The sequence below is a fragment of the Homo sapiens genome, chromosome 10, assembly GCF_000001405.40.
Source record: "Homo sapiens chromosome 10, GRCh38.p14 Primary Assembly".
In the NCBI taxonomy this organism is placed as follows: domain Eukaryota; kingdom Metazoa; phylum Chordata; class Mammalia; order Primates; family Hominidae; genus Homo; species Homo sapiens.
Window position 1 is genome coordinate 88487416 of NC_000010.11, and position 14455 is coordinate 88501870.

The window sequence follows — 14455 nt, forward strand, 5'->3', positions numbered from 1 at the left end:
AAAGATTTGAATAGACAGTTTACTGAAGAAGACATATAGATGGTAAATAAGCACATGAAATAATGTTCTACATCATCAGTTATTACAGAAATATAAATTAAAATCATAATGAGATACCACTACACACTCGTTAAAATGGCTAAAATGCAAAAGACTTATCAGACTATGTGTTGGCAGAAAGGTGGAGAAAATGGAACTCTCATATACTGCCAGTAGGAAAATGTAAACTAGTGAAACCACTTGGAAAATAATTTGACAATTTCTTAAAAGTTTAAGCATATATTTAACATATGATCCAGCCATTTCAGTCCAAGGTATTTACCTAAGAGAAAAGAAAATACATGTTCATACAGACTTGCCCACAAATGATCATAGCAGTTTGTCATAGTCGCAAATGGGAAATAATCCAAATTTTCACGAACAGATGAATAAATAAACACAGTTGTATATCCATAAAAGGGATACTAATCAGCAATAAAAAGGAATGAACTATTGATGCATACAATAATGCAGATGATTCCTCAAATTATTGTGAGTAAAGAACTAAGACAAGAAAAGGGCACATAATCTGTAATTCCATTTATATAAAATTCTAGAAAATGCAAACCTATCTATATAGAGAGAAGGCAGATCCGTGGTTACCTGAGGATGCAAGGGCTGGAGATGGGAGAAGGTATGAATTACAAAGAATCATGAGGAAATTTGGGGGAGTAGTGATGGATATATTCACAATTTTAAGTGGTTTCATGAGTGTATACATAATATAAAACATTAAATTATATACTTTCGATATGTGCAGGTTATTGTATATCAAATACACCTCAATGAATCTGTTAAAAAATGATCAGAGGCTGGGCATGGTGGCTTACACCTGTAATCCCAGCACTTTGGGAGGCCAAGGCAGGCAGATCACCTGAGGTTGGGAGTTCGAGATCAGCCTGACCAACATGGAGAAACTCCGTCTCTACTAAAAATACAAAATTAGCTGGACATGGTGGTGCATGCCTGTAATCCCAGCTACTTGGGAGTCTGAGGCAGGAGAATTGCTTGAACCTGGGAGGCCAAGGTTGTGGTGAGCTGACATTGCGCCATTGCACTCCAGCCTAGGCAACAAGAGCAGAACTCCGTCTCAAAAAAAAAAAAAAAAAAAAAGATCGGAAATTACCTTAAAAACTTCAAAGAGGTAAATGTAAAGAACAATATATAAATTAGAGAAAATACACATAATACTAAAATATGAGCAAGCAAAATGAAAAATTAAATGTGAAAAAAAAAGTTGACGGCTAATAGAGCAAAAGTGCCAGAAGCCAAATTTTCCGTGATTACAGTCACAGCAGTGAGTGTGCTACGTTATTATGTAAAAGCGGAAAGTGAAGTAATTTGGCTTCAATTAAAATGTTTGAAGGAGGAATTTGGGTCATAGTTGCGAATGGCAAAGCTGCCAACATTTAAAATGAAATGTATGCATCTGAATATTTAAAAGATCTTAAAAAAATTCTTTGTAGTCAGTTCAGACTGCATGGCCTCTTTTAAACTGCAATATGCTTTTCAGGACAGACAAGTGATTAAAGAGAGGATCATTATCTGTAATAAGACACACTGTACAAAGTGGTCTTACCTCGAAATTCAAGCATTCTGAGTCCTGGTCCCAATTCCATTATGGTTCTGAAGTCATCTTGAGAGCAAATGATTTGTTTTTTCTATACTTTCAATTTAAAAAAGAAAAAAGAGAGGCCTGTGTTCTATATGTGGAGAGGTCAATTAAGGTTTCCAATATTTTTGGTCCCTGGAGATAGTCACTGCCAAAGTAAAGTTATTAATTAAATGGCATCTTGGCTTTATCATCACTGTTCTCATAAAGTAAATAGTAAGTGTCCTCTCACTCCCATTGCTTCTGAGAGGACTGCTTTTGTCTGTTCAGAAAATGAAAGAGAAAATCAATCCTCCAGTACACTGGCTGATTACCTATGTATTTCAATGGCACTTTATCACCATGGTACCCAGGTACTCGGACCCTAGCAATAAATTGGGAACAAGAACATCAAAACCACAGCTCTGTGTGATGAGGCTGGTATGAATACTAGGGCAAGAGCCCTTTGAAGTTGTTCCCTTTGTGTAAACAAAGAAAATGCCAAAATGGATGTGGAGGCTATGGTTCCCAAGGTGATTCAAATTAAAACTTAATAGCAAGGACCTCATCAATTTGAGTCCCCCATTTTCTCACAAGAACAGATACCTCCTGCAGAGAGGGCCACATCAATGCATCAGTCCTGTGACAGAGACGCACATGTCAGCTAATTTTACCAAATAGCCATGTCTGTTGGATCTGTAAGGCTCAGTTCATCATCTGAGATTTGCAGAGTGTTTCAACCATCAGTTTGTATTCTAGAGCTTTTTCTACATCAGAGCAAGGCATTCAGGCTGTAATTTTTTGTGAGGCAAGACGGAAAATTCAAAAGTCTGGCCTTGACTGAACCCCTAACTCTTTTATGAATTACTGATTTTCTATGTTGAGCAACTAGAGATGAGATATTGCTAGAAGGCTGTCCATTGTATGGCTAGAGGGACCAGCTGTATTGGCAAATTGACTAGAATAACATGAAAAGGCTCTTAAAGCTCTTTTAAAAATAAATGTTTTATATGGATTTTTGGCTAGGTCTTACAGGGAAAAAATATGCTGTAAAATGCTAATTTCAATTTGTTCACTTAATAGTAATCCAAATGACATAATTTAAGCTGATTTTAGAGCAAGCTGTAGCAAAACATTACCTTTTAGAAGCTGAATCAGTGAAATTAATTTGCAGTGCCTCAACGTTATTTTGTAATACGTGATTTATAAGTTTATAAAATATCAAATAGTCTGAGGTTATCTTAAAAGAGGCAAATGTAGTGTGCACTTACTTTAACTGTAGCTAAATTCTCTATTGCATAATTTTAAACTGAAAGATTTTCATTAATCTTACCTCTGAACTTTTTAAGCTCTAAACATAAAAGAATGTGCATATACAAAGTGAACGTCAGCCAGAATTCTGATAATAAATTACTAAACGAAATCAGATAATACAGAAAGTTGTCTGTTTTGATACAGTCAAGAATCCTGTTTACTGTTAGCAAATGTAAAGCATACATTTTGCAGGAGTAACGTCTTCTAGCTTTCCTAAAAATAACTTTATGAACTGCAAGCTACAGTAACAACCTACTTTAAAAATATACTTATTTTTTAAAATGTGCATTCATTCATTTTCATGTGCAGCCAGTTCCAAACATCAATTTCTTCTCACCTAAAACAGGGATTTTCAAAATTTAAACCTTTTTCTTATAACATTTCCTGAAGTGACTACAGCTACATGGGTAAGCCACAACACACAAACCACTTGAGTTGTGACATACTGAAACCTCAAACAGGAGGGAAAAACAACTAAAACCCTGGGGCATTTCAAAATCCTATCAAAAATATTTTCTTTGTTATTGGATAAAAATAAATTAACATAGACTATCAATTTATATACAATGAAATAACAATAAAATGTTACAAGTCTATGTTTATCTTCATAGTATTCTTATAAGTTGTGTGATAAGAGCCACGCCATGTTAATTTTTGTATCTGTAAGAAAGCACACAGATTGAGGGGCTTAGAAAATGACTCTTGGTCATGGCAAACCTGTGGATGACAAGTCTCATTATCTCCCTTTTTTGAGGGAACTGAGGCAGAGGGGAACAACCAGTCTGCTTCAGAAAACACTGCTAGTGCTAGTGGTTCATATTTAGCACCTCACACTCTAGGTTTCTTTCCAGGATTTCCAGTCTCACTCTTCTCTGACTGATTGCAAAACATACTGAAGAGAGGAAAAGGTACTGGATTTAGAAGACCCAGTAAGATGCACACATTATTTCGGGATAAGAGTAGCCTACCTGCACCTGCTTCTCATCTGTGCCTGTTAGGAGAGTGGACCTGGTTCATTGCCCGTAGTGGACAGGCTTATGGTATAGGTGCATACAAGGGAGCTTCTAAATGCCTTGCTTTTCAGGAAGTTATAAACCTATAAAAACTAGGCCTAAAAATATCTAGGGCTGATGGCAGGGATATATGTTTCTGAGTGCCACAAAAACTCCTTCAGAATGCAGAAGTGAGGCAGAAGTTTCCATTGTCTCTTGAATATGTAAAAGCTTAAAACAAATGAACAAACTATTCCCAGAGAAAACCTATTTAGTACTATGGCCTATATTTCAAAACTGTATTAAATGTATAATTAATTTCTTATTAGCTTACTATATTATTTGTTAAGATTTCCTCATTATGAACAAACAATGCTAAGAAGACTATCCACACACCCAAGTATCTGCAGAATATGTGGAAGAAGAAGTGATTACTTGCTATAATTATCACTGATAAAAGATCTTGAAGAGCTAGTGATGATATGAAATGGAGGTAATAAAGGACCATTAAGATGAAGTGTAAAGATTCCAACCCAATTCTCACCCAAAGTGAGAGTATTAGTTCTCATAATATGTTAAAGGGTATTAGGGAGAAAAAGAGTTTTGTTTTTTTTTTTTTTTTTAGGGGTAAAATAAAATCAGTAGCCTAAAATAAAAGGTTAGAAAGGTAAAAAGAAAAATCAAAACTAGATTTGAGAAAAGATGGAATAAACAAAGTTAATAATCTGCTTTACAGCAGAGTCATTCATATAGTAACACGTGTTACATATTTTGAGGGAAAAATAGACTGTGTGAGAACCTCCCAAACTGATTTTCCCAGCAACCTGACCCCTGCTGCCATTGCTTCCCCACTCTTTAGAGCATTTCCTAGGATATACTCTGGGAAAAGATGTTCCACTGTGTTTTAGAAAGTAATTTTTGGGGTAGCATTTAGTCCTCTTAAGAAACATCAGAAAAAGTCCAATAAGTGGTATTGGAGGCAGCTCTGGAAAATGGCATGCAAGCTGCTAACGTATTTATAGAAATAAAATGTAAATTATCCACCTGCTTTTTAATTTTTTTTCTTTTTCTTTTTTTTTTTTTTTGAGACAGAGTCTTGCTCTGCCATCCAGGCTGGAGTGCAGTGGCGTGATCTAGGCTCACTGCAACCTCTGCCTCCCAGGCTCAAGCGATTCTCCTGCCTCAGCCTCCCGAGTAGCTAGGATTAAAGGTGTGCACCACCATGCCTGGCTAATTTTTGTATTTTCTGTAGAGACGGAGATTCTCTCTGTTGGCCAGGCTGGTCTCAAACTCCTGACCTCAAGTAATCCACCCACCTTGGCCTTCTAGAGTGCTAGGATTACAGGTGTGAGCCACTGCGCCTGGCCCTTTTAAACTTTTTAACATACTTTTTTCTCCCCAGTTTTGTGTGTGTGCAGCTACCCAATTCTTTTTCAATCTCATCATCCCCAAATATTTACTAAAGGACAATTTATGAAAGGTTCCTGAAAGTAGGGAAGCAGAATGACCAAACTTAGAGACATGATATGTTTTCTTCTCTCCCAATGTTTACATCAGTTCACTTTCTACCCAGGATAAAGTTCTGAACATGAAATTTTTAATATTTGAAAATGACAAAATGTATGAAATTATTTAAGTATATCTATAACTCAAAACATTTGTGGATGTTACCTACACCAACTGACATTTTATACTACTAATCTTTTTCGGTTATTTGAGAAATTAAATCAGTATAATGGACTCCTATTTCTTATTATCCTACCAGTACATGTTATTTCTGCTCTGGCATGTGTTCTACTTGTAAACCAGCTTTAAATGAACCATTATGAAAATCTGGTGCATATTTAAAATGGATAATAAATGAATATTTAATAGGAGTTACATCTATTATAATTTTTTTCCATCAATGATGGAAAATTTTTCTGATAATCTAGCAAAGTAGATAATAATTGTAGTAAATGGATATTTAATAGAGGCTTAAGCAGATTATAATCTTGTTTTTCCCCATCTCATACAGATCATCTTCTGATGTTAACAGAAATCATATATAAGAACAGAGGGAAGCATGTAAGTTGTGCATCAGCTATTGGTTAATGAATAGCTACAATATGACATCAATTATTGTGATTTAAAAAAAAACACTCAGCAAATTGCCCTCTCCTAGATAATTTTCTAATTTGAAAGTTTCTCATTTTTTTCCTGACAATTTACTTTTTAAAAAATGAGTGATCTATTTGTTCTTGTCATTTTATAAATCAGCTCAAGATTGCTGTATTACATTGTTGCAGGGATAGATCTATGAACTTAGGGGCTTTTTTAAATTGTAGGAGAATACAGTTTCCCTTCCATTTCTCTCTCTCCTTCTCCCTCTCTTTGCTTTTTCACTGTAAGGTCAACAGCTTAAGAGGCACAAATCTCAACTACTGTGATTGTTTCCTTTTATATGATGGGGGATGTAAAGTCATTCAGAGCTGCATCTGTCAGTGGTGCTTTCTACCACTGCTGACGACTGGGTTATAAAAACATTCCTGAACAATTGTGAACATTGGCAGACCATAAACAAAATGGAGAACACTGGAAGACATTCAAACGATGATGTCTTAAATCCTGGCTCTAAAATTAAACTAAAAGAAAACTGATTATCCTTTGTCATGATATGCATGCCAAGAGCCATGCATGATATGCACAGTAGACACACACACAAAAATAAGGTAATAAAAATAAGAAACATATGGATTCTGTTAAAACACATGCATTCACAATGACAGATATTGAAAAGAACAAGGAAAGCAAGAGTTGAGGATATTCAGATTTTGAACAGCACTGTAATTAGCTTCAGAGGAGAGAAAGTTCCACAATAGGAAGTTACACGGAAAAATGTTACATACTGTTTGTAAAATGGTGAAAATATGAAAAAGCTTAGTGGCTTTCACTTCCTTAATAATCAGCATATAAATGGAGTATTTGTTCACCTATCCTTTCAGTAAGACATTTTCTTCAGTCATGCCATGAACAAGTCTCTCTTCTGGGCCAGTGGGGAACAAAAGAATAAGTAAAGAGCTTAAATGTGAGTGAATAAAATTAATAAAAGATTCTGTAATGTAATGGAACCATATTTATTATTTTCTTTTCATTTCATTAAAGTATTTACTTGAACCTCTACTTACTTTTAGAAAATATTCATTGCATTGTTTCTAAGGTGACTCAAGATTATTCAGAAATTATGTGTTAAGTTTTTCTGAATATGAATGGTACATATTCAAAAACCAGCCTGGTGGAGGAACTATTTTCAAGGAGTAATATTACCAGTGTGAAGGAGATATATCAGAAGAGGATTAGAGTTGGGCCTAGAGACCTTGGCCAACTTGTGGTACCAATGTTCACCAATTGTGTGATTTGGAAGCAACTCTGATAGGTGCCTGCCAAATTTAGTGGTGAACCCTTTCTCTAGACCAGACTTAAGTTTTGGTTCTTTTAAATTAAACAGTTCAGCAGAAATTTCAGGACATCAAGAAAACAGCCAAGGGTTACTCTGAGGTCCCTATATTCTTTACTCAGGAGAATAAGTAACAACATTCAACTACTGCCACTTCCTTCCTATGTCTGAAAAAGTCCAGGCATCCTTCCCCAAATTTTTACAGGTTTGACACTTAGATTCGCCTCTAATTCAGCAACTACTTTGAAGGGGAAAGATGTCCTATATATTTTTTATAACCTCTCCTACAACAGATATAATTCCTAGTGATGACAGCAAATCCTATTTCCATTACCTAATTTTAGATATGTTAAACATCCCACTCTTTTTTTAAGAAGCAATGTTAAATAATAAACTGGTACAACTTCTGGACAAAGATTTTTGTACAGGGACTTTCCAAGCATTGCATGTTTTACTTGTTGCAAAAATATGAAAGTTATCTTTCTAAGAAAGGTACACACAGATGTTGATATGACTTGAGAAAAATAGTCAATAGAGTCAATTTGTTATCTCCATCTTTAGCTGCAAGAGGGAGGGGGGATCATTAGATAAACCAAGTATGACAAGGAGGCTTTGGGTCTATAACTCTTATGGCAAATGGTTATATTATGTTAGACAAGTAGATTAAACTTTGCAAGCTTCAGATATTATCTTTGTAAAAAAGTGTATATAATACATCTGCTCTCATTACCGCACAAGGATTATGTCAAAGTAATCTCCATTTAAGTGAGTGGAACATACTGAAAAGAAATCAAAAAGGGCTACCAGTGGGGGATGAGAGAGGAGGAAAATTTGCAGAGAAGGAGAGAATATAGAAATGGAAATGAGAGAGAGCAGTGTATTGAGAGGAGGGCAGCATAAGAATGAGTAAAGAAGAGTGGGGCAGGGATGGGATGAGAAATGGAAGGGATATGGAAAACTGGTTTGGGTTTAGCTAGGGCAAAGCCCAAGTGACAAGGAATCCGTGGTTAAAGGCAGTATGACTGGAAATGAGCGAATTTAGGAATATGCATCTCAGCATTTTTTTCTTTTGGTTCAGGATTTTGGTGAGTGTCAGGTGTCGGCTTCAAGTGGGAATTTTGAAAGAAAAAAAGACAGAACATATTTGAAAAACTGGGGCAGGATAGAGGAAGGCAGCTTTAAAAAGTCGTGGTTGGGGATGCAGAAGACAAAAAGGGAAATAAGACAAACATTTTTAACTTGTCTGTTTTGCTTTCCATATGGGTTGCAGAAGGCAAAGGGGACAGAAGGAAGAGGGGAGAGAACATTTATGCAGCTTCTGGAAGGGGAGAAGTACCCCAGAAAAACACTTGTAAGGGAAAACAATTTGAAATTATCTATGAAAGGTAGAGAGCAATTACCCAACAGACAGAGTGGTTATAGACAAGACTGTATGAATCCAAGCCAGTAATTAAAACCCCAGGAATTAAGGAATTGATAAGATCTTCAAGTTGTAAAACTGGGTTCCCTCAGGGGATTATATTATGAGAAAAGAACCGAAAATTTCCAAGAGAACTATTTAGAATTTCATTAACCTGGCAAATGCTAAACCCAGTGCACGCTTCAGGAATGCCATAGCAGAAGGAAGAAGCAGTGGCCTGACGCTTTACTTCTTCAGACACTGAAATGCAGAAAAACTAGCCTGGTTAACTTCTGGACTGGAGAATATGAACTTGAACCAGAATTGGAGAAAGGGAGGCAGGATGCTCTTCAGAATTTGATGAAACTATAAGCTCTCTCTCAAGGGAAATGCACAAAAATCTGCACACAATTTCTAAGACTTCAGAATCTATCTGTGGCCATGTTCCCCACCCCATCCCCACATGCAACAGACAACACACAGCATTCCTTCTAAAGAACACTTGATTTCATAGAGGAGAAGGGTTAAAGCTGGGATAGGCAAATACATGCTCTATGGCTCAAGAAATGATATTAATAGATAGAGTTTAAGAGCATCTTCCTATGATATGCAGCCAGAGAAGGTTTCAAGTTTGAGAACTATAATCTACTTAGTCTTTCTTATGAGGGATACTATGTGGAACTCTTGTGGCAATATAAACATAGCTATGGAGATGGTCAAAGAGTAGGGCATTCTAAAAGGGAGGAAAGGATAGGCACACTAAAGTTTGAGAACCTCTAATTGAATATATTGTTACCCTGGGAAACATATTAAAATGAAAATGAAAGAAAAGAGAAAAATGAACACATTATGTAATGAGTCCCAGGAAGAATGAACCTGATTGCTAGTAGCATCAGAGGTAGGGTCAGACATGGAGTCTGAGGTAAATGGAAAATGAATTAATTAATTTTTAAAAATGAGTTCAAAGTTGTTTTGGAAGACAAACGGAAATTGTTGAAAATATTATAGAAATACAACTTAACAGTAATACAGATAATGAACACAAGTCAGTTTTCTGGAAGCAGAGGGGTAGACAGAAACAGTGCAGAATTTGCTTATTCTAATTTTTATAATTCTAAGTTTAACATTAAGACAAAAGAAGATGGCAACCACTAGAAAGTAGGCTTCAGATTACAGTAGCCCTCACTGAAAGATTTATAATGCCTTGATTTTGGTTAGTAGGTTGATCCAAATACATAAATAAATAAATATAAATAAATAAGATAGCTTGATGAAGGTGATTTGCAAAAGCTAAAAGGGGAGAGATACAAAAAGGGAGGATAAGTAAAGCAAATAACAGAGTTGGAAAATAAATGCCATGATTTAAAACAACAACAACAAAAATGGGAAAGTCTTTTAACAACAGAGTTGTCAAAGGCCTAAACTTAAGAAATAGAAATGGATGGATTGGAGGATGTGGTCATTACAAAGAAAAGATTTTTGTTTAAAACCAGGAACAAGCAGGAGAAAAACTAGGACAAAGCAGAAATGTCATGTGAAATATCTTACATAACAAGCTGATGGCTTAAGCCAATAAAAGTTCTGGGAGAAAAGAAGCACCTGTCCAAAGGGAAGGTGTGAGGAGGAAGAGACACAACAACACCTGGTCTCTGAATATACCATAAAAAAGTTTGTGCCAACTAGCTATAATTTTGGGGAAAAAAAAACTTTGAGTAAAGTAGATTTATAAAAATAGTGTTCAAGAGGTTATTGAAGAGAAAAAAAAAAACCCAAAAAGTCCTAGTCAAGAGCATAAAATTTATCTGGATATGATTCAGGCAAGAATCAATGGATGCCAAAAACCAGTAGGTGAAAGTTTGATGAGAAACAGGATATTTACATAGTTTCAAAATATCTCCCAACAAATTACTTATTCATTACAAAGGGAAAAATAGTAGCCTAAGAATGAAGAAATCTGACAAACCACCTAGACCAAGTGATCATCACCAGTTAACATCGCCAAGTTAACATCACCAGTGATGATATATATCAATATTATGTGTCTCCTTAACATAAAGTACTGAGAAGGACACAATTTAACATCTGGCTCAAAAATGCAAAGCCTGAATCTAATTCTGAGGAAACATCAGACAAACTCAAATGAAGGGCAACTTTGGATTAAAACTTTCTGGTATTCTTCAACTTTTCAAATATACCAGGGTCATGAAAGAAAAAGAAAGACCAAGGAATAGTTCTAGATTAAAGAAAATCAGAGAAACAACTAAACATAATATGTGCTCCTGAAGCAGAAAAAGTTTTTTTTTCTGTTGTTATAAAGGGCATTACTGAGACAACTGGTGAAATTTGAATAAGGTCTGCATACTAGATAATAATATTGTAATTATGTTACTGATTTTGATAATTGTCAAAATGTAATTATTGTCAATATGTAATTATGTTACTAATTTTGACAATTGTCCTATGCATGGTTATTTATGAAAATGCCCTTGTTTTAAGAAGGCACACAATGGAGTATATACAGATAGGAGGTGTCACTTCTACAAATTACTCTTGAACAGTTCAAAAAGAAAGACTAATGTGTGTATATACGTAGAGAGATTGATAAAACAAATGTGGTAAAGTGTTAACCTTTGGGGAATCTGGGTGAAAGATGTATAGGAATTCTTTGTAAATCTTTTTCGAAGTCTAAAATTATTCCAAAATTATAAACTAAAAATTATCTGGAAAGAACAAACTAAAACAACTCATGAACTTTGATTAGATCTTGGTTCAGGGAATAAAACCACTATGAAAGACATTTTGAGAGAAGTGGGAAAATCTGATTATAGATAAAATATGAGATGAAATTATGGAATTATTATAATTTTTCTCAACTTTGACAATGGTAGTGTGCTTATGCAGGGGAATGTCCTTAGTCTTAGAAGATCAGTGCCGAAGTGATTAAAAGTGTTATGCACATGGAGGAGTCCATTGTTGCTCACAAAGCATGGCAGTAGCAGCTAGACACTTCACCACTCTACTGCTCTGCCCAACACAGTATTCTCTACCTTCCTTACTTAGGTAGGCATGGCCATTTCTCTGCTAGTGATTGTCTTGATCTCTCAGGGTGCAAAGCTTCCCATTTGTTTAACACTGTTAGAAGGCTTTAAAGCAGAATTTCTCAGTTCCAGTGAGTCTCAAAATTTAGTGAAAATGGCTTCTGAGCATTTCTTTATAGTTCTTCCTCCCCCAGCTCCCTCCAAACAACCTGCCCCAGATTCAGGCCTGTGTTCGTAACAGATAATATGTTAGAAGTTCTTACGAAAAATTTTGTTATTGTGAGTGCTTTATCAGATCTGGCTTTTTATTTTATTTTATTTTTTGCAGGGGTGGGGTGAGGCACAGGATGCATTCTCCCCCTCTCACCTCCCCTGTCTTGGGATGTTTCTCAGCTGTTCTTTTAATAGACTTCTTTGGACCATCCCCACAGTAACCAGATCGAAGTGAACCCCAGAAGTGAATGCTGCCTGAGCTATTTCTCAAGAAGCTTTTCAGTGCTTCTCCCTAGCCTACCACCTGGGCAATCAACTTCTGCCAGCCCTGACCCAGCACATCTGTCTTCATACGCTTGTGCCCCAGCAGTGGGCCCCACTTATCATCCAGCTGAAATTCTAAGAAGTACATATAAGAAATAGGCAGACAAGCAAGAAGGGTATACTTGCAGTCTAAAGACAAGTGTCAAACAGATAAAAGAGGGTAAGCAATACTTTTTGCATATACTTATAAGCTATGCAGGTTTTTAAAAATTCTTCTACTGGCAGGTGAGGCTTGGAGAAAGAATTCTAAGAATGTATGATTGTAAGTAGCCTTTACAGTCAACCTGTAAAGATTTAATGAGAGCAAAGCTCTGCCTCTAGTTAGTACACAATTTTAACGGTGTTTACTAAGCAGGCATTTATGTCAATGCACCAAACGGAAGTTCTGAATAACGAGACACAAAATTTGAGGGCTTATTCTCAAATAATTTAGTTATAAGTTAGTTCCTGGTGTAGTCTGAACAGAAGGTCACTGATTCATTATTTCACTGACAAATCATCTCCTACACTAATTCCACAGGAGGTATTCAGGAGAGCCATATGACTCATTTAGAACACTGAGATTAAGACAAAAGATACAATTTGTTCCAGCTAAATGAACTTATCTGCATTTGAAGCATCTGTATTTTCCAAACTAGAAGTAAACTTTCCTCTTCAGTGATTTTGGACTAAATTGGAGTCAGTTCTGGACTCTTGTTTAGGAACACGTGATGGGGTTGTGAACGTTTCTCTAATTGCCTGGATTTTTTAGTTGCATTTCAACTTTTACATGCTTGTTTTATTTCACTCAAGACAAAAGCAATTTTTTAAAACTGCAGATACAAACTAAGGCAAGCAAATCATGCTATTTAATGTTGACAACTCTCTGAAAATAGAAATATATTGGGTTGATGCAAAAGTAATTGCGCTTTTTCCCATTTTAATGGCAAAACTAATAACCTAATAACTTTCGATCATTAGTGTTTAATCCAAAGACTCATTTTAAATAATCATCCTCTCCAAAAAGTTTGGCTTGGTTGTTTTATTTCTCCTCTGATCTTACCCCTTTAAGAGATTACTCACAAGTAATGTAGTAGTGGGAGATATGCAATAATTGTGTAACTTGGGCTAGCAATTGCATAAATTGGATTTGCTTTCCCTTATCCTAAATAAACAGCCATCTATGTAATGAGATTATTGTTTTAATTTAGGGGGAAATATATAATGTGTGTATATCTATATATTTATGTATATATATGTGTGTGTGTATATATATCTCTGTGTGTGTGTGTGTGTGTATATATGTACACTAAACACCATACCTAATTCATAAGTGCTTAATATAAGTCAGCCATTATTATTATTTTGAAACTACTGAACTAGAAGCTTCCTCTTGCTTGATTATTATTAGAAAAGGTTAATCTCAACAATACTAATTTAACTCCATACCAAAAGGAAACTGATTTGATCACCTGGGGATATATACATGATCAATAATTATGAATTAGCTGTAAAAGTCATTACCTTTAATAATTTAGTCATTATCTGTGTCCCTGTCATCAAAATGGTGATACTACCTATATCTCATAATTTGGTTGTAAAGAAAATATTTCACATTAGACATTCAATTAACTGTTAGTTCTCTCCCCAAACACTATGCCTTCCACAGCAATGCAAAGAGTAGTATACAATCTTATTCACAAAATCGATTTTACTTGAACAATGAGGTGGCCAAATGGTAACACCTGAATTCTCAATAGTGTGGATTCTTAAACACTCTCTCAGTATTCCTGAACAGATTGGAAAAATTAAGATAATGACTGCCCATTGCACCCCTGAGTTCCTCTAAGGTCTACGGATACATTTAAGTGAGTTGATCTTCTGAACCGCAATGCGTTAGTTCTTAAAATATCTTCGTCATTTGCACATTTTGTATTCAAAGCGTGTGGATTCCTCTTTAATTCATAACCTAAAACCCTGGTACTCATCAGACATCATCTATAAAATGAACAATTTTCAGCACTTGCCAAGACTAGCTTGAAACATTTGATTCTTTAAAAAAGCAAACAATTATATATTTCTCTATATTTCCAAAGCTCTCTCTTATTTTGCTCATCCAGACAAGAAATT

At 35.4% G+C, this 14455-nt stretch overlaps 1 protein-coding gene across 15 annotated transcripts in view; it reads right to left on the reverse strand.

Moving 5' to 3' along the window:
• The window catches only part of RNLS (renalase, FAD dependent amine oxidase), a 411796-nt gene that overhangs the window by 315893 nt on the left and 81448 nt on the right, over positions 1 to 14455 (reverse strand). Inside the window, exon 1 of one of the 15 annotated variants that reach the window (XM_017016385.2) lies at positions 1619 to 3986. The exons of the other annotated variants lie outside the window; for them this stretch is intronic. Coding sequence (XP_016871874.1) covers positions 1619 to 1658 — 40 coding nt within the window. The 5' untranslated portion in view covers positions 1659 to 3986. Of the gene's footprint in view, positions 1 to 1618; positions 3987 to 14455 lie in introns of those variants that run through there. 15 annotated transcript variants of the gene reach the window in all.